At 42.1% G+C, this 21531-nt stretch overlaps 1 protein-coding gene across 1 annotated transcript in view, besides 1 other annotated feature; it reads right to left on the bottom strand.

Moving 5' to 3' along the window:
* TMEM132D (transmembrane protein 132D) overlaps positions 1-21531 on the bottom strand; it is an 832300-nt gene that overhangs the window by 360614 nt on the left and 450155 nt on the right. The window lies entirely within an intron of this gene.
* Positions 14113-14282: an enhancer, noted in NCBI's record as "experimental_25513 CRE fragment used in MPRA reporter constructs". NCBI's record gives its function as "activates a minimal promoter by MPRAs in K562 erythroleukemia cells, with activity observed for both the introgressed and non-introgressed 12:129931082 variant alleles {active_cell/tissue: K562}" and the evidence as "EXISTENCE:reporter gene assay evidence [ECO:0000049][PMID:34662402]".

Raw genomic sequence — 21531 nt, forward strand, 5'->3', positions numbered from 1 at the left:
TGGATGGATGAATGGATGGATGGGTGGATGGATTTTATTTCCATTTACTATAATGTGAGCTCCACGAGAGAAGAGTGGGTTTTTGTTTGTGTTTTGTTCAATGCTGCATCTACAAGTGCCTTAAATCATGTCTGAGACATAGCAGTCATTTGCCAAATACGGGTGTATAAGTAAGACAACTTTTCTTCATTGGCATGGGCCATAAAGGAATGAGAGTGGTCTCAGCATTCCCTTATGTGACTCTGTAGTGTGAGACATCTTTGGCGTGAAATTCAAGTAATATATACCAAGAGTAGACATTTGCAGTAACCATTTCTGGGCCACCTCCTTTTAATTAATTTAAAAAATACTCAAGTCTCAATTACCCATAGCCCAGGTAAAAGAAATGTGTGTTAATTCTATGTGGGCAAATTAAGGAGGATACATGTTTTCTATGGAAACTTTTCTTTTTGTATAATAAACATATAATGCATGAATCATTAGTGTGCAGATGGATGGGTCAGTGCAAGGTGAACAATGTTACAGATCAACACACATACCTCAAGCTGAACTCTGCCAGAAACCCATGGCCCCTTGGGTCACCTTGCAGGTAGAACCTACCCCCAGGGTAAACATTACCCTGACTTCTGGCAACATAGGGTAGTTTCATCTGTTTAAAACTTTTATAGAAGTGGAATCACATGATGTGTACACTTTTGTATTTCGCTCCTTTGTACTCAACATGATGTCTCTGAGGCTCATCCATCTAGATTCCCATCACTTACACTTCATCTTTGCTGCATACTGTTCTATGCCACAAGTTACTTATTCATTCTACTGGTCATGGACTTTACGTTGTTTCCAGGTTTTAGCTATTACAAATAGTGATACCAGGGACATTCTTGCCCATGTCTTTGGTAAACAAACATACACATTTATCTTGGGTATATATATAGAAGTAAAATTGCTGAGTAATTGAGACTGCCTCTGTTTAACCTTAGTAATTATTACCAAACACTTTTTCAATGTTTAATACCAATTTAAACTCCTAGAAGCAGTGTATGAAGGTTCCAGTAATTCCGCACTCTCAATTAATTGGTAATATTTGATATAAAATTGTTTATTTCCCCTCATTGCTTTCTTTTCCTTCACCTGGTTCAAGCATTTCTCGTTGATCCTCCTTGTGTCAGGAGAGCTTGACACATGGGCAAAAAATAACCCAAATACAATTACAATTTTTCCCTTGCTGGTACTTCTTTCTTCCAGTTTGGGCTTTTGTGGAGATTATACTTGTTGCCACTAAAAGAAACATTTAGAGAAGCAAGAGTATCCCCCAGAAATTAAAAATACATTCCCCAGAACTGGGGAAGCAGAGAGAAGACCCTGGGTCTCCAAGAGCAAGGCCAGAGCGTGGCTGCCAGGAGGTGCTAAGGGAGGTGGTGAAACCCCACGAAGGGATGCCCATCAGCAGGAGGGGACACACGGAGATGGAGTTCCCTAGTCTTGGATAACAGCTGCTCATGGCAGGAGTGCATCTGAGAGTTACTGGGCCTGAAGAGACCATATGCCAAACCAAACTGACAGTCAGAGTCTGGAAGCAGAAATTAATTTGAGTTGCAGAAAACAGAGAAATTGATATTTCTCGCACTGTTAAATTTGTGACTTGAGATTCAGAGCTTGCAACTAAGGAAGAAGAGAAGTGTCACTAGGGATACTTTCGCAGGGAAACAGGCTGGAACGTCATTCCTCATATTATTTCTAGGATTATGCAAACATGATCAACATTCTAGATCTCGTTTATAACAGAGGTGAGCGACCTGTAGGAGGAAAAATGTTCTACTTAGGTTGGAAGAGGAGGTCCAGTGACAGAAGAAGATGGAAGAGACAAACTCCCTCCCTTCTGGGATTTCTCCCCCTAATGAATGAGAATGTCAAATAGACCAACCTGCTTTAATAGTGTACAAGAGATAACATCAGGTAACGGATGAGAACATGAAATTTGGAGTCAGGTAGCTTGAGCACAAATTGTGACTGAATGAACATGGCCGAATGAATATGGACGAGTTACTTAAAATCTCGGTGCCAGTTTCTTCATTTGTATTTGAGAGTGCCAATAGTGATACCCTCCTCATACGTTTGCTGTGACTACTACAAGTTGTTCTACATAAAATTCTTAAAACACAGCCTGACAACAGATGGCATGCTAAGGGGGCGTGTCTCAGTACTGACCCAGGCCACCTAACCCAGGGCTGCAGAGGAGGCTCCCAGAGGAGGTAAGTCCTGAGACGAATCCAGGATTTAGCCATGTAAAAAGGAGACGCAGACATTTTTAAAGTTGTAGTTTTTTTTTTTTAACTGTCACATAATAATTGCACATATTTATGGGGTACAATATGCTGTTTGGATACATGCATACTTTGCATAACGATCAAATCAGAGTAATTAGCATATCCATCACCCATATCCATCACCCCAAACATTTGTCATTTCTTTGGTGAGAACATTCAAAACCTTCTCTTCTAGCTATTTTGAAATATACACTACACTATTGTTAACTATATCACCCTACAGTGCTGCAGCACACCAGAACTTATTCCCCCATCTTACTGTAACTTTGTATTCATGGCCCAATAGCTCACCATCCCCCAGCCCCAGTACCCTCCCTAGCCTCTGGTAACCTCTACTTTACTGTGTAATTCTATGAGATCAGCTTATTTAGATTCCACACAGGCGTGCGAATGTACCGTATTTGTCCTTCTGTTCCTGGCTTATTTCACTGACTATTGAGTCAATGTCTAGGTTTTTCCATGTTGCAAAAGATAGGATTTTATTCTTTTTTAATGGTGGACTAGCATTCCATTGTGTATAATATAGACCAATGTGTTAATCCATTGATCTGTTGATGGACACTTAGGTGGTTTCCATATCTTGGCTATTGTGAATACTGCTGCAATAAAAACTGGAGTGCAGATAATCCTTTCAACATCCTGATTTCATTTCCTTTGCATATATACCCAGAAGTGGAATTTCTGGATCTTACGGGCATACCATTTTTTAATTTTTTAAGGTGCCTACATACTAATGTCCATAGCGGCTATACTAATTTACAGTCCCACCAACAGTGTATATGTGTCCTCATTTCTCCACATCTGTGCCAGTATTTGTTATTTTTTGTCTTTTTGATAATAACCATTCTGGGGTGAGACAATTTCTCATGGTGGTTTTGATTGGCATTGCCTTGATGATCAGCCAGGTAACCTCAGCATTTTCTGCTTGCCACCTCCAGCAAAGGAATCCTGCTTCTGCAGTACGATGTTTACCTCTGTTCCAGGATGATGAATCCCAAGCCTAGTTTTTCTCCCCTGAAGATTCTCCATGCTTCTTAACCTTCATTTTATGGTTAAGTCATTCAGTGCTGATATTTGTTGCTTGTACTTAAAATTCTGACCAATGCACTGCATAAAAAGGGAATGTCTATATTATTTGGAATGAGGACAGTGCAGAGACTACAATATGATTATCAAATATCGTTTCTTCATGTATTTTCTACTAGGAGAATTCTGATTTTACTCTGATCAGCCAAAAACTACATTTTCCAGCGTCCCTTGTAGCTAGGAACAATTGTGATATCATTTTGGTCAATAAGATACAAGTGGGGAGACCACACTGGATGGATTTTAGGAACAGCTCTTTGAATATGGATGACTCAACTGACATGTGTAATTTACTCTTCAGTCTTCCCCTTTCTTCCTGTCTGAAGTGCAGCTGTGAGGGTCGGAGCCACGGCAGCTATCTTGAGGGCACGTGGATGAGAATCTCAGCCTAAATCTGGCAGAGGAAAAAGCCACTATCTTCTCAGAATCTGGTATCCTGATGATTTAATGAAGACCATAAAACAGTCCTGGAATCCCTTGAAAGTTTGTATCCAGACTACTTTCCTACGAGAGAATAGTATTCCATCACTCCATTTTCTAAAAAATTGTTATTTGGGTTTTCTGATACATGGTGTCAAAACTAATCATAGCTACCGCATGCATCATCGAAAGGTATGACATTCTCATATATATATAATTATATTTTATTTTATACTCAGGAGTTTTTAAAACAGGATAATATGGTCTTATTTGTATTTCAAAAGACCAAGCGTAGCAGTGGTGTGAGGCAGCTGGGTGAGGATGAGCACTGATATGCAAGACTTTTAGTTGCAGCATTATTTGTGATAGTGACGATTCAACAACACTGTAAGTTTCCATCAAGAGGGGACTTCTGAGTGGTATTTAAACAATTTATATAATGGAATACTCTTTTGCAGATGAAGGGAATGAATTAGATGCCTTTGTATCCACATGAACAGATCTCCAAAACATATTAGGAGGGATGAAAGCAAGTTTTAAAATATTTTAACACGTCACTTATAGAAAACCAAGTGTGTGCGTTTGTGATTTTTCTATAATGGTACACATACATGTATACCGACATAAAAATGAACTTGAAGTATATACATTCAACTTATCATAGTTACCTCCTCAGCTTGGGTCAGGTGAGGAAAAAGCAAGAATGAGATTTAAAAAGTCTTCATTTTTCCTATAATTTGATACATTTAAAAAATAGTAAATAATGTATTTACCACATTTATACACAGAACAATTACTGAGGATAAATGTCTATCATAGAGACTGCTCCATCACTAACCCCTTTGTTTCTTTTTCCTTTTCATCATAAAACCTCTTGGATTTAAGTTGGGGACATGTCTTCTAGCCAGAGTCCACATTTCCCAGACTTCTTTGCAGCCAGGTGTGGCTGTTGAGAGTTAGGGTCAATGGAATGTGAGAATTTGAATCATTTCATGGATGATAAGGTCCTTTGCCCAGGAAGTTGAGGAGGGAGATGCCCTCTTTCTGCCAGTTGGGAACGGAGCAACTATAATGACTTTGAAGCCACAGGTTAGGAATAACAGAGCCTCCCCACCATCCTGGAGCCCTGAATACTCCCAGGGAGCAGAGCCCTTGCACCTTCCCCCAAACAGCTCCATGACAGAGAAATACACTTTGTCTGCTTAGAGCCACTGTATTTTTAAGTATTTGGGGTATAACAGCCTATTTAAGCACAATGCCTAAATGTTAATAGAGGTTAAGTATGAATGAACGGGCATGGCCAGTGGTTAATTCTACTTTGCACGTTTTCATACTTCTCAAATTTTAGACATAAATTTTGGAAAATACCTTCTGACATGATGAAATGTTGGTAAGGATGTGAAGTGATGAGAATTCTCTTACACTGCTGGTAGGAATGTGAACTGGCATAACCACTTTGGAAAAGTGTTTGGCAGTACTAAAGCTAAACATCCCTATACCATAGGATACAGACATTCCATTCCTAAGTACACACCTTCAGGAGCTGAATGCTCATTTCTTTTTTTTTTTTCTTTTTTTAAATTATACCTTAAGTTCTGGGATACATGTGCAGAACGTGCAGGTTTGTTACATAGGTATACTTGTGCCATGGTGGTTTGCTGCACCCATCAACCCGTCATCTACATTAGGTATTTCTCCTAATGCTATCCCTCCCCCAGCCCCCCTCCCCCCGACAGGCCCCAGTATGTGATGTTCCCCTCCATGTGTCCATGTGTTCTCACTGTCCAACTCCCACTTACGAGCAAGAATATGCAGTGTTTGGTTTTCTGTTTCTATGTTAATTTGCTGAGAATGATGGTTTCCCCTTCATCCATGTTCCTGCTAAGGACATGAACTTATCCTTTTTTATGGCTGCATAGTATTCCATGGTGAATATGTACCACATTCTTTTTAAAATCCAGTCTATCACTGATGGGCATTTGGGTTGGTTCCAAGTCTTTGCTATTGTGAATAGTGCTGCAATAAACATACGTGTGCATGTGCCTTTAGAGTAAAATGATTTATCATCCTTTGGGTATATACCCAGTAATGGGATTGTTGGGTGAAATGGTATTTCTGGTTCTAGATCCTGAAGACACATGTGCAGAAAGGTGCAGAGACAAGTTATGCATAACAGTCCCACACTGGAAGCAACTCAAATATCCACCCATAGAATAGACAAATAATGTGTTGTATATTCATATAATGGATACTATGCAGCAACAACAACAAAATGAAAATACTCATTTATAAAAAACATAGATACATCTCCCTGATGCTATTTTGATGAAAAGAAACCAGGCACAAAATAGTATGTACTATATGACTTCATTTGTATGAAGTCCAAAAACAGAGACACAAGTCCCTGGATTTAGAGGTCGGGATACTTCTTTTCCTGGGGTGGGTGTAGGTACTGGCTTGGAGGGGACATGAGGGCATCTGTTGGGAAGAAGGAGATGTTCTGTCCTCGGATCTGACACCTGTATAAGCGACTGCATCATATGTTCCATTTCATTGCACTGCATATTACGGCTTTTGTGCTTGTGTTGTACATGGGATAGCTCAGTGATGAGTAATTTTAAAAAATATCCCTACATCACCATTCAATTAAGTGTCGAAAAGAAATAAAACTGCAAACAAAACATGAAAAGGATCACTGAGACGTAATTTCACAGAGCAATAAATCTATTCATCAGTTCCATGTACAATAGGACACATGGAATCTGCTTTGAAGGTTTCTTATTGCAATTCTCTGCAGGATCACTTTGGCCATCTCTGCTGTCCGTGATCTTCTCATTCTAAGCCTCCAGGTTTTATGCCCAGCATAGGATTAAAAATAGTCCAGTAGCTACAAGATGTACACTTTCCTTGCAAGACTTTCCTCGACAGTCAATGTTGCTGGGAGCCAGGTAGAAAAGAGAGTGAAGGAGCATTTGGGACATTGGGAATTACTGAATAAATGAGAGTAGTCAGAGAGTTTCTGTCTAAACTAAATGCTCATATCTGGTAACAGACAAATCCCAGTAAGAATAGCTCAGCCGAAATATCTGATGGTCAATATTCTGTTTGTATTTTATTATGAGTCATTATTTTTAAACATTTAGTTTTTCCCTCCTCTTTTTCTCTTTACCCCCTTTCTCTCCTCCATTCAAGCATCAACTATTCTATTCTGTTCTCAATGTCCAGCATAAAGGTGAATGGACATAAACTGTTCTCCAAGCACTGGAGTTGTTTTTTGTTTTTTATTTTTGAGACGGAGACGGAATCTCACTCTATTGCCCAGGTTGGAGTGCAGTGGCATGATCTCAGCTTGCTACAACCTCCCCCTCCTGGGTTCAAGTGATTCTCCTGCCTCAGCCTTCTAAGTAGCTGAGAACAGGTGCCCGCCATCACAACTGGCTAATTTTTGTATTTTTTAGTAGAGACAGGGTTTCACCATGTTGACCAGGCTGGTCTGGAACTGCTGACCTCAAGTGATCCACCTGCCTCGGCCTCCCAAAGTGCTGGGATTACTACAGGCGTGAGCCACTGTGACTGGCCTGGAGTTTTTTTTAAGTGTTGTAAATTTTACTAAATTTTATTTTCCAAATATGTGCTGACCTTTCTTTGGTAGGATTATCCTTTCCTGCCTTGTGGAAATCAGGCTTGGATGTGTGCTTTGCTTTAATCCATGACAGGTGAGCGAAAGTGACGTATGGCATCTGGGGCAGATGCTTGAAGGATTATGTCATGGTTCCAAGATCTCTGTTTTCCGTGTTCCCCAAGACAAACATGTCCCCAATGGGAGGAGCTATTTTGCTCTCATCCCAGAATGAAAAAGAGGTGTTATTTGGCGAAGCCTGACCAAGTACGGGTGTGCAATGAGAGGACAACGCCAACCTCTGTTGTCATGAGCCTCCGTGATTCCAGCACACTTCTTACCTAAACTCACTTTTACCAAAGCTAGTCCAACAGGAAACAAAATGCTCCTGAGCACAAAAGAAGTAAAAGATTTTGGAGTATCCATGATAACATGAAAGTGGGACTTTCTGTTCTCAGGATGAAAAAACACTTCCTCAAAAGGGGCAAGGTGGGTATTTGAGAGGAAAACAAGGGGGTAATGGAGATGGTGAGTGTCTGAACCAAAAGGCCAGTTCTGTTTCTCTGTGTTCCAGAGACTGGATGCTACAAACTCTGAAGAGATCTGGAGAGTGAAAAGACGGCCATTCTGTGACTCACTTTTTACTTAGAAGTCAGAACTCAGACAGGAAATGATCATGTGGCGCGTGGAGGCAAATAAGATCTTAAACAACAGTGTGGGGTTTCTCTAGGCTCGGTGACCTAAGAGCAGAATACACTTCTCATATATCCCATAATAGCATGGGCATATCTAAGAGGTTATTGGGTTTGGAGGTGACTTGTGGATGGGAAATATCCATAGTGTAGATAAATCTGTACCAACCCATAGCTGAAGCCCAGGCAGACACAAGATGCCTGCTGATGTCTGCTGGCTACATGACGGATGCAGATACCCTTTTACTTCCCTCTCGAACGCTGACAATGGCAAGCTACGCAGGATGTATAGAGAGTTCTACACACAGGCTTGAAGCCTGGGTTGGCAGGGGGAGTGCGTGGAAGAACCTGAGAGAATGGAGACTAATGTGCATCTGGGCAACAGAGTGGATGTTTGCAACAGAAATTAAAAATAACCATGGAAACATCATGTGAAGTCTTGCTCATGTGGGTTTTTAGATCGGATTTGCATCCATTATTATGGCATTTACCAATTATCGTTGAGGTCTTCACTTGTCCAGCTTTGATGAGTGCTTTGATGCATTGGGTGACATATAAGTCAGGGTCTAGTCGAGCTACCATCTAGAGTTCAATAGAGGGAATTTAATCCAGGGCACTGGTTTAGAAGATGCTGGATGTTCACTAAGATTTGCAAGATTGCATGCACATACCTGTATATATGCAGCATTTCTGTAAAAACTTCCAAACAACCTCTCACCTGAGGTTTCAGCATCAGGAAAGGGTAGAGTCTCGTGACTCTTAAGTGCAGGATCATTTCTCCATTAACACATATGCAAGGAGCCTTCTCCCAAGAGCGAGTGCACTAGTTACCTGGGTAGATGTAGACCCAGGTGTTGCCCGCACGGTATGAGAAGAACTAGAAACCATAAGAGGAACTGTTAAGGCCACTTGTGAATGGCGCATCTCTAGTGATGAAGGCAACAGGCAGGAGGTGATCCCAAACCAGAAACTAGAGACGCCTGCGAGGAGCTGAAATCAAACCAGAGACTGTTTGCGGGAGCTGGAGGTACAGAGGAGATACAGCCACTGTGTGAGACACTGTCCAAAACACAGAGAAGGAGAAATAGCCTGACTTCTGCTTTCTCCTTGCCCTTTAAACTCCCACTCTTTGATCCAGCAATCCCACTACTGGGTGTATACTCAAAGGAAAATAAGTTGTTCTACCAAAAAGAGCCCTGTGCCCATATGCTCACTGCAGTACTATTCATAATAGCAGCTACGGAACCGACCCAGGTACCCAGCAACAGTGGAGTAAATAAAGAAAATGTCACACATATACACTGTGGAATCTTACACAGTGATAAAAAAATAATGAAATCATCGCCTTTGCAGCAACATGGATGCAGTGGGAGGCTGTTACCTTAAGCAAAGTGGCGCAGAAACAGAAAACTCAATAATGCATGTTCTCGCTTATGAGAGCGGTGCACTGGGTACTCATGGACATAAAGATGGCAACAGTCGGCCTGGAGGCTACTAGAAGCAAGAGATAAGGAGAGAGGCAAGGCTTGAAAAACTACCCATTGGGTTCTATGCTCACTTCCTGGGTGACAGATTCAATTGCACCCCAACCCCCAGTGTTACCCAATATTCCCATGTAACAAACCTACACATGTACCCCCGGAATCTAAAACAAAAGTTGCAAAAGAAAAACAAAAGCCTGCAACGCTTGTCTTTCATTGGCCAAATCTTTCCAGCAGCCAGTGGGCAATGGAGCCTGAGAATCAGAGTTTGCATTGACACATTCTGTTAGATTCAGAGCAGAGAAGGGAAGGTGTGGAGAAGGGATATGTGAGCACCGTGCGGGCAACACCTGGTCCTACATCTACCCAGGTAATTAGTGCACTTGCTCTTGGGAGAAGGCTCCATGCGTATGTGTTAATGGAGAAACGATCCTGGACTTAAGAGTCCCAAGACTCTACCCTTTCCAGATGCTGAAACCTCAGGTAAGTCACTCAAGAGTCCCGACCTCCTGAGAGATGAAATATGCAAATTAAAGGGGGAAGCTAGGACTCCAAAAGTGGTTAGTGAGTGGTAGAGTCTTCTGAATATCTACTGCATATGCATCCCATTCTCCTTCCGTCTTGTCACAGAGTATCTTGAGTGGTATGACCAGCATGGTCATCTAGTGGGATGTGCTAGAAGCGGTTATAGTCTCAAAGCTCAGCAAAATCTAGAAAGGCATTTATCTGATGAATAATACTGGAATCCATGCCCAGCCTCATGTAAGTCATACTTGGGTAAGATTGGATATAGCCTAAAACTGGACCAGAAAGGAGTCAAATACATCTCATGGATGACCCAGAGTCCTTCAAACGCCTTATGTGTATTCATCTTGGTGTCTGCAAGAGGTACTGTTTTGGACGCCATGGTGTGCTGCCGAGGTCACTCCTGTAGGAGGGAGGTGACGGTGGCTGACAACCTCTGAAATTTCCCCCAGCTGAAGACAGCATACCTCGCCCAAGATCATGCTCCCTCCCAGGTGAACACATCCTCCAGTGACTCCTCAGGGTGGGGTGGAGAGGCCAGGCACCCTTGCTTCAGGGTGGGGCATCTTTGAAGGGCCAGCCCACTCCAGAGCTCCCCTTGGGGTCGGCTGAGGCTGTTGTTGAAACTGCCTCAGAGTTCAGCTCCTGCCTCTTTCCAATCCGGCTTCCTCCTCTCCTCTACAAGTTGCTTCCAAGGGTAAAACCCCCAAAGCACCCTGCACACAAATCTCCATCTCAGAGCCTGCTTCCTGCGCAACTCCTCTGAAGACAAGTGTGTCTTTCAGCAATGAGATTCTGAAGGTGAGCCGCCTCCCCGACCGTATCCCACACCTCAAGGTCTATGTCAATCTCTGGGCATCGCAAGTCTCTAGTATTTGAACTGTTAAGTCCCATTCTGATATCATCAAAAACTGCTTTATACACACTCTGATCTGATGATAAATATGAGAAGATAAAAGCTGAGTTTGGTGAGCGATGGCCCACAGCCGAGGAACCGTGACGCAAGGCTGTCCTTGGATACCCTCTCCATCTCCCTCCCTCCCACTCCTGGACTTGTTGTCCCTGGCTCCAGTTCTGGCTCTCCCCCTTCTCCCTTCCTCTTTCTCTATTCTTTCCATCTCCATTTCCTTTCACCCCTCACTCATCTCTCTCCCAAAGTTAATATATTTCTTAATTTCCTAAACAACATTGTTCTCCCTTTCCCTGCTTTCAGCTCCCCCTTCTCTGGAGTGCCATCTCTCCCTGCTTCTGTGCACGTAGTTCAGAGGATGTGTGTCCTTCTCAGATCTGAATATGAGTGTGCAAGCCAGGCCTGATCAATACACGTTTCACATTCTTTGTCGATAATGATTGTTTTTTGGTATGGCCACGTGGCCCAAATGACTGCGGTCATCAAAACTGCAAATTTTAGTTTTCTGAATTGACAAGGAAAAGATTTGCTTTCTTAAGAATAAAGGTACAATAAGGTCACACACCTACAACTATCTGATCTTCAAGAAAATTGACAAGCAATGGGGAAAGGACTCCCCTTTCCCCAATAAATGATGCTGGGATAACTGGCTAGCCATATGCAGAAAATTGAAACTGGACCCTTTCCTTCCACTGCAGAGAAAAATTCACTCAAGATGGATGAAAGACTTAAATGTAAAACCCACAACTATAAAAACCCAGGAAGAAAACCTAGGCAGTACCATTCAGGACATAGGCACAGCAAAGATTTCATGATGAAGACATCAAAAGCAATTGTGACAAAAGCAAAAATTGACAAATGGGATCTATTAAACTAATAGATCTTCTGCACAACAAAAGAAACTACCAGCAGAGTAAACAGACAACTTACGGAATGGGGGAAAATTTTTGTAACAATACATTCGACAAAGGCCTAATATCCAGTATTCATAAGGAAATAAACAAATTTAGAAGAAAAACAACAAGCAACCCCATTAAAAAAGTGGGCAAAGGACATGAACAGAGATTATTTTATTTTATTTAAGTTCTGGGATACATGTGCAGGTTTGTTACGTAGGTAAATGTGTGCCATGGTGGTTTGCTGCACCTGTCAGCCCATTGCCTAGATATTAAGCTGGACATGCATTAGCTATTTTTCCTGATGCTCTCCCCCTCCCCACCCTCCTCTGACAGGCCCCAGTTGTGTTGTTCCCCTCTCTTTGTCCGTGTATTCTCATGAACAGACACTTTTCCAAAGAAGACATACATGCAGCCAACATGCATATGAAAAAGGCCCAACATCACTGATCATTAGAGAAATGCAAATCAAAACCACAATGAGAGGCCATCTCATACCAGTCAGAATGGCTACTATCAAAAAGTCAAAAATTAACAGATGCTGGAGAGGTTGTGGAGAAATAGGAATGCTTACACACTGTTGGTGGAAATGTAAACTAGTTCAACCATTGTGGAAAACAGTGTGATGATTCCTCAAAGAACTACAAACAAAACTACTATTTGACCCAGAAATCCCATTACTAGGTATATACACAGATAAATGTAAATTGTTCTATTATAATGACTCATGCACATGAATGTTCATTGCAGCACTATTCACAAAAGCAAAGACATGGAATCAACCTAAATATCCATCAATGAAAGACTGGATAAAGAAAATGTGGTATATAAACACCATGAAAGAACAATATCATGTCCTTTGCAGCAACATGGATAGAGCTGGAGGCCATTATCCTTAGCAAACTAATGCAGAAACAGAAAACCAAATACCACATATTCTCACTTATAAGTGGGAGCTAAATGATGAGAACACATGGACACAAAGAGGGGAACAACACGCTGGGGCCTATGGGAGGGTGGAGTGTGGGAGGAAGGAGAGAATCAAGAAAAATAACTAATGGGTACTAGGCTTAATACCCGAGTGACTGAATAATCTCCACAACAAACCCCCAAGATACAAGTTTACCTATCCTGCACATGTACCCCTGAACTCAAAATCAAATTAAGTTAAATTTTATAAAAAGGTACTAGACTGTAAGCCTCTAGATTCTGGGGACTGTCTTTTCACTGCCTTGTCTGTTTGTCTGAGACTGAAGCTAACCTAAAGGAAAGGGAGATGAAGGAGAGAGGTGAAATTATAATCTCATCCCATGAACCCCTGGATCCAGCTGTGCCTGAAGCCCCTCCCTCTGAATTTTCCAGGTCATGGGTTCATTAAGCCAGCATGGGTTGGACTTCTGTCACTTCCATCTTAAAGCTCTGGAGTTCACCCAAATAAACCACCCATAGTCACAGTTCACAGTATCACCTCCATTGGCAATTTGTATTCTTACTTGTTGCAGGTCAGGTTCCCAAGTAGCAGACGCTGAGATGCATTTATGTGCAGGAAGTTATTGGGATAAACCTCTGCAGGGGAATGAAGGAAGCAGAACAAGGTAGAGGGAAAAATCAGACTGTGATGCCGGTGCAGCAAAGTCCTCAGCGTATCCCCGGGGAGGTGTAGACCTGAGGTGTCCCTGCAGGGTTACTCCAAATTGGTACCAGGGGCTGGGACTTTATACAGCTCTACCAGTCGCTGGCTCAGAAAAGGGAGAGAAGCTTGAGCAAGGTGGCTCCCTGCTGTTGAGGGCAAGTGCAAAAGACGGGCTCAGGTGATAGGTGTTGGTTCTCAATGCTTCTAGCAGCTGGTGGATGTAGGGGGATTTGAGAACCAGAATACTGAGCTGGTGGAACTGGGTGGTCACAAAGCCACTCACCCATGGTATGCTGAGTCCTTGAGGGCACACAGAAGGGGGCACTGTTAGAGAGGATGTGGTGTGACTTGGTTAGCCCTTCCATCCCTAATTCCTAGGAATATCAGGTATCCCTGCAGAATATTGATGTCAGGCTTTTTGCAACAGGTGTTGTGCACTGTACCCTCCGGAGCTGTGCTAATTCCTAAGCAGAAACACTCTGGCGTATTCATTCAAAGATATTTATGGAGAATACGATGTCTCAGGAATTGGGTCATAGCAGGAATGAGAGAGACAAGATCTCTGTCCTTATGGGGAATAAAGGCATTAAATCCTTACACACATAACCCATGTTTATTAATTGATATTTAATGTCCATTTTGTCCCGTTAACACTTCTCAAATCTCTGCTCTTGAAGATCTCAGTCCTCCCTACCTCCTGAGCAGAGATGAATGATAAAAATATTCACAGCATTACTGCTTCCCATGCCATGGTGAGGACAGGTGCTGTGTAAAACTGATTAAAAGAGGGAAATTAAGAGCTGCTGTCAAAAATATATTCCAGGCTTTGATTTTTCACAATTTCCCCCTCTCTTACTTAAAGGAGGAAAAAATGCTGTGGTGGTGATTTCTTTATTAGAAACAGCGATTGTGCCTGCCAAGTTTTAATCAACTCGCCTGGCCGTGAGACCCGGCTGGCATTAACTGTCTTTAGGAAATAAATGCTTCGGATATGGAGCATAGTATTAGCAAGCACACAGCAAAGTCCCCAAGCGGACCACACAGAGCATTATCTAACCATCAATTCAAATCTAAAACAAGCTAATCTGCAGTGTAGAGAATCCTGCTACTCACACCAGAGTCCCCAGAGCAGAACCTGCCCTTCACCAGCCCAAACCAACCATCTCTCTGTCTCTCTCCTCTCATCTTCCCTGACACTGGGAAAGTGACTTGGTGGAGTAGAAACAATTGCAGCCACACTCTCAATTTGCTTTTCCAACCACCGTCCAAAACCCAGCACTTTATCCAATTTTTTTTACTGAAGAGGCATTTCTATCTCAGGAAATTGTCTAGGTCAGTCTTCTCACTTCAGTCATTGTAACTGACACTATTATGCAAACGTAACCCTTTCATTCAATTCACTTGCTTTCTTTACTAATACATTCATTTTGAAAGGAAGCATTATTACACTACTGTTAAGTGAAAACTGGTATCGTTTGCAATAAATAGAAGGGAGCCCTAAACACAACCAATAAGAAAATAAAGTGATGTTATTAATCCTAACTACATACTGCCTGCCGAGGGCTCCGCATCTGGACTCGTACTCTCCCATGAAGAATAACGTAAGCAAACATGAGGATTTAAAGACATCTTGTATGGAACAAAGCCTTTCTCCTTGAGGTAACCAGAATGATGGGAAAAAAAGCTGAAAAGAGGTTAACTTTCTTGCCAAAAGGTTCATTGCTATCTAAATGATGTCTGTGCACTGTACAAATTAGCTCACTCTCTTTTGAAGAACACTGGGGTAGTAGTGAAGTTTTCTACATATGCAATAAAATAAATGCACGGTCCTTCCGCAAACCAGAGTGTGTGGTGATGTGGAAACAGCATCAGGTTCAGGAGACTTTGGTTCCTTGTCAACTCCACCACTAAGGAGCTGAGTGATGCCGGCTTAATCACTTGGCCCATCTGGGTACTATTTATCTGATTTGTTATAATCTGCAAGGTGTCTTTCAGCCTCCAGCAAACAGTGAGTGCTTGACAACAAGAATTATGTCTTATTTATCTATATCTTCAGGATAAGCATGAAATGAGATCGTCTGTGGCGTTTTCAGCGTAGTGCTTGGCTTCGTAGATGCTCAGGAAGTTTCTGCAGAATGAATGCATGAGGGAATATGGCCCACGGACTGTAGTCTATGTCAGACACTTCAGCAAGCACCTCACTCATTAATCTTTTTATTCTTTACAATCATACAGTGTGGTGCCCATTATGTTTGACGGATGCAGAAACTGAGGCTTAGACTGGCTAAATGATTTTTTCTTCTCTTTTCTAAGTTATGGGGTATATGTGCAGGTTCGTTACACAGGTAAACTCATGTCACGGGGAGTTGTTGTGCAGATTATTTCATCATCCAGGTACTAAGCCTAGTACCCACTAGTTATTTTTCCTGATCCTCTCCCTCCTCCCACCCTCCACCCTCCAGTAGGCCCCAGTGGGTGCTGTTCCCCTCAGTGTGTCCATGTGTTCTCATCATTTAGGTCCCACTTATAAGTGAGAACATTCAGACAACTTGATTTTCTGTTCCTGCATTAATTTGCTAAGAATAATGGAGTCCAGCTCCATCCATGTTGCTGCAAAGGACTTGATTCTCGTTCTTTTTCAAAGCTGCATGGTATTTTATCGCATATACATGCCACATTTTCTTTATCCAGTCGGTCATTGGTGAGCATTTACGTTGATTCCAATTTTTTTCAAAGTATATAATAAATAGTGAAGTACATTTTAAAAACATTCTTATTTTAAAAAACTTTAATCATACAGGAAAAATAAAGGGGCTGATACAATGAACACTTGCCCTGCGTGTTAACAGCCATGAGTTCTACCATGTCTGCTCATCTGATGCTCCAAGCCTAAAGTATTTTGAAGTAATTTACATGAAGCATATTAGTAATTTCTACACTATATTTACTAGTTGTCCCAATGCCAGTAACGTATCATAAATCAAATATTTTTAAATGCTCAAAAGTAGTGAGACATAGTAGGTGTCCTGGATCTCTGAAAGAAAGATAATGCCTCCTGGAATTCCACCCAGGCATCAGTAGTGAATAAGATAACGGTGAAGACTTTGCAGCTCTGCCTTACCTGCAGGCCACCTTCTTGTTTGTTTTTCTTTTATCTTCCGGATAAAGTGAGATTTCATGGTTCACAATGGGAATGGAGTATTGTTAAGAGGGAAGACCCTATGCATTGGCTTTAGGAGCTCCAGAGTTCAAATGTGAGAGCAGTCACCGCATCAGTGTTTGACCTGGGGAAAACTGTGTAAGCACTTGGACCCTTACCTACTCGATGATATAAATGAAAATAAATCAACTTCTTAGGAATGCTTTGAGAATAAGTTAGGTGATGTTTAGAGCCATGCTTAGTCCTGCCTGGTGTTAAGGAATGAATAATTAAGGAATGAGTAACCAACCAGCTCAGCTTCTAATCACCGTGCAGAGTTAGGTAAGGCTGTAGTCTAAGTTTCCACTAAACCCGCCAGACTTTCTGAGCCTGCAGAGCAGGAGTTCTAGGTACTGTGGTGCAACACATATTGACAGCTTCAGATTTTTGTAGTTCTCTCCTTGGTCAGGCTAGACAGCAATATGGGTACACGGAGTCTCTGCACATGAGTGTTTACTTGTCCAAATTCAACTTCAGATGGTATCGACCACCAAATCATACAACACCAGGAGTGACAGGAGGTGGAATTCATGTCCCATTTTCCAGCGTCTCATTGTGTGAAAAATCTCAGCACACCAAGTGTGAATCCAGTATTTTAAAATTTGTAAGTTTGATATCGTGTGGTCCTCAGGGAAAGCCAACTACTTCCTCAGGTACACACACAAAACACAGCAACCCCGACTCCCCAGACAGAAGCAATGGTCTGTTTGGTGCTGGATGACATATGGATATGTTGGATCAGTTTGAAGTGAGTCCGTGGGTCTTGTGATCAAAAGATTTTCAAAAACAATTTTGACTCTAAAAGAGTTTCATTGTGGTTTTGATCTGCATTTCTCTAATGATCAGTGATGAGCTTTTTTCCATATGATTGTTGGCCACATATATGTCTTCTTTTGAAAAGTGTCTTTTCATGTCCTTTGCCCACTTCTGCACGGGTTTTTTTCTCGTAAATTTAAGTTCCTTATAGATGCTGGATATTAGACCTTTGTCAGATGCACAGTTTGTAAACATTTTCTCCCATTCTGTAGGTTGTCTGTTTACTCTGTTGAGAGTTTCTTTTGGCTGTGCAGAAGCTCTTTAATTAGATCCCATTTGTCAATTGTTGCTTTTGCTGCAATTGCTTTTGGCATCTTTGTCATGAAATCTTTGCTGTGCCTGTGTCCTGAATGGTATTGCCTAGGTTTTCTTCCAGAGTTTTTATAGTTTTGGGTTTTACATTTAAGTCTTGAATCCATCTTGAGTGAATTTTTGTACAGTCTGTATAACAAACCCCCATGTCGTAAGTTTATCTATGTAACAAACCTGTACTTGCACCCCTGAACTTAAAAGTTTTAGAAAAGAGTTTCAATGATGCTTGGATTTCATAGTCTAATCCCATGTAAGTGAAGAGGCTACATGAAATTTCAAGTAAGAGTAAAATGCACTCTAGTTTCAAAAGAAAAAAACAAGCAGTACTATGCTTCAAAAAATATTGACATTTATGTGCTATTGGCAGCATCAGCTGTGAAACCAGGATTTGCAAGTTCGTTGGCATCCCTGCAACAGGGTCCCCATGAGAGCCCATTCAGGCAATCACTGAGCACCCAGAAGGTCATTTCAGCAACCAAAAGTTTCCATCGCTTCTTTTTTTTTTTTTTTTTTTTTTTTGAAACAGAGTCTCACTCTGTCGCCCAGGCTGGAGTGCAGTGCTGCAATCTCAGCTCACTGCAACTTCTGCCTCTCGGGTTCAAGCAATTCTCTGCCTCAGCCTCCCGAGTAGCTGGGATTACAGGTGCCTGCCACCACACCACCACACCTGGCTAATTTTTGTAATTTTAGTAAAGACAGGGTTTCACCATCTTGGCCAGGCTTGTCTAGAACTCCTGACCTCGTGATCCACCCTCCTCAGCCTCCCAAAGTGCTGGGATTACAGGCGTGAGCCACCGCGCCCGGCCAATTTTCATCACTTCTTATGAGGCCTCCTTGGGCTCTGGAAGTGTGACGTCTCTTCCTTCCTGATGCACTGAAATCCAAATGACGGTGCTGCCCTCTCAGAAATGCTCAATTCATGGGCTTCCTACAATGTGAAGCTTGGCTAAGGTAAATAAAATGCACAGATGCTAGAAAAGAGTTTTTAAAAAATATACAACAGAAACAAATCTGCCAGAATTTACCCAGCTGGCAAGTTAGAACTCTGATAAGCAGGCATTAATCATGGTAGATGAGTCGCTAAAGCCTAGATCTGTGCAACTGCATAGCTGCACCCCTGCACGTGTCTTGCTTTCTCATGTGAACATTTTGCTGTATATCTGGTTCCTGCAGAATGAGCATTAGTTACAGTGACTAGATGCTTTATAGAGAAGTTTGGGTAGCAATCACAGGGAAATAAATCATGTAAATTAATGAAATGTTGAAAAATAGAACTAGTATGTGGATACTAAGCAAAAAATCTCATGATAAAATATGTGAAGCCAAAGACTAAATTTGAATAATAAAGCAGAGGTAAAGTGGATTTATTAAAGATGTCAAGAACTAAAAACCTGACCACAGAGGCATGCCCAAATTGACGTTATTCTCATGTGACAAGAAATCCAGAGAAAAGACAGCCAGGACTGATATGGCAGCTTCATGATATCAACAGAAACCCAGGCAGGAGGAAAGGGCAAAGGCAGAAAGAGTATGCCACTGAAAACTATCCCTCTAGAAGCCTCACCTAGAAAATTCCACCTGCACTTGATTGGCAAGAACTGGGTCACACGGCTATACTAGCTGCAAAGGAACCTGGAAGTTGTTTTACCTGGGAGCATTGCTACCTCTTACAGTGAGTAAGGATGAAGGGCAGAAAAGATGGTGAGTAGGCAAGTAGCAATCTGCCATAGAGACATAAAGCCCAGGATACACAGGACATCTTGAATCTGGGTTCCTGGAGGTCAGTTTAAAGAGACGAAATGCTATTTCTAAGCCTTGGTGAATTTTTCCTGGCTCCTCATGTCCTCTGAGACACCATGCAGGAATCATGATAGATGATACCTTTACACCGTTCCATCTGGCCCACTTTACAGAACAGTGAAGAGAATGATTGGATTTTGCCTGAGAAAAGGGCAGTGCGTAATAGCGCCTGTCTTGGAAAAAATGAATAACATGCCGAACACCGGAAGAAAGGCATTTCTCTGTTAATTGTGAGGACCACTATGAACGTACTTGGGTTTGGCAAACATTTCAAACTTACTTTCTAGTTGGTCAGTAAAACCTGGAAGCCATCTCTGAAAAAGTAGCTGCTGTTTCATCTTCCGTGCTTACAAAGTGATTTGGCTCACATTCCTTCCTCTTAGTTTTAGTGAATGTTAACTTAATTCTTGCAAGGGGCTTCATCCTTGTCACACCTCATCAGTGATACTCTGGGAGCCAAGTCTACAACTGAGGGTCCCTGTCAATGTACAGGTAAATTAAGGGGGTTATCAGGTCAGCACTAACATTATCCTAATGTAAACATCCTGGGAATTCATAATTTGATAATTGTTCTTTTTCTAAAACCTTTGTTGATCCATGGCTTCTGGTGAGAGTATTTTTAAAAGAAAGGAAGAAAAAAAGAAGAAAAGAAAGAAGAAAGGAGGGGAGAGAGAGAGACAGAGAAAAGGGTAGGCAGAAATTTGCAGATTTTTCTGCCAATTTCGTCTGATTTACCCTTCTCCCTGCACTTCCTTCTTGTGCAATAGTTAAATCAGGTATAACATATAGTTTCTTTCGTAACATTTAAAAATTATCTTTGTATCCCCAATCTTAGTATAAATCCAGACAGGTTGTAGATCAGGGGTCCCCAACCCCCGGGGCCATGGACCCATACTGGTTGGTGGCCTGTTAGGTACTGGACCCCACAGCAGGAGGTGAGTGGCAGGCGAGCGAGCCTTACTGCCTGAGCTCTGCCTCCTGTCAGATCAGGGGCAGCATTAGATTCTCATAGGAGCACAAACCCTATTGTGAACTGCGTATGCAAGGGATCTAGGTTGTGCATTCCTTATCATAATCTAATGATAAATGTAGTGTGCTTGAAACAGTCTGAAACCATCACCCACCTCTCTGCAGTCCACGGAAAAATTGTCTTCCAGGAAACCAGTCCCTGGTGCCAAAAAGATTGGGGACCGCTGTTTTAGATGATCTAAGAAGGCGTGCCTACTAAACGAAGCCCATATCTGCTGGCTTTTGCAGCATGGGCTACTGGCTTTTGCGCAAGGTGTCTCTTTGCCTGGAATTCCCTCCCGCAGGGTCCCATCCTTTCTAAATCCAAACTGCATTCAAAGAAAGGGCTAAGTCTGCTCCTTTCAACTGGAGAGTTCCTTTTCTACTAACAGCACAATTTTTATATTATTTGGCTACAAATGATGGAAACCTCACACTCTCTGAAGTCAAAAAAGTAATTTATACAGGGATTTATTGACATGTGATGAAAAACTCTAGCAGTGGCTGGACCCAAAGGTTCTGGTTGTATTGAGGATGTGCTGTCTTCTCTCCAACTTCACCTGTGCACGAACGCTGACTGCTGTGGGCAGGCCCCAGCAGCTCCAGGCTCCACCTTCAGTGAACTTGGATCCAGGGACTGAAGATGTCTCTTCTTTGTTTGCTCCCTAACAGTTTTAGAGTTGATTCTCATTGTCTCTCCTTGACTTGGCTTGCGTCCTACGTTGACTCTTTGCCTCTTGAACTAATCACTGCTACTACTGTGTGTGCATCTGCGTGTTCCTGTGTCTGTGTATGAGTCTGTGTGTG

Source organism: Homo sapiens, chromosome 12, assembly GCF_000001405.40.
Source record: "Homo sapiens chromosome 12, GRCh38.p14 Primary Assembly".
Lineage (NCBI taxonomy): Eukaryota > Metazoa > Chordata > Mammalia > Primates > Hominidae > Homo > Homo sapiens.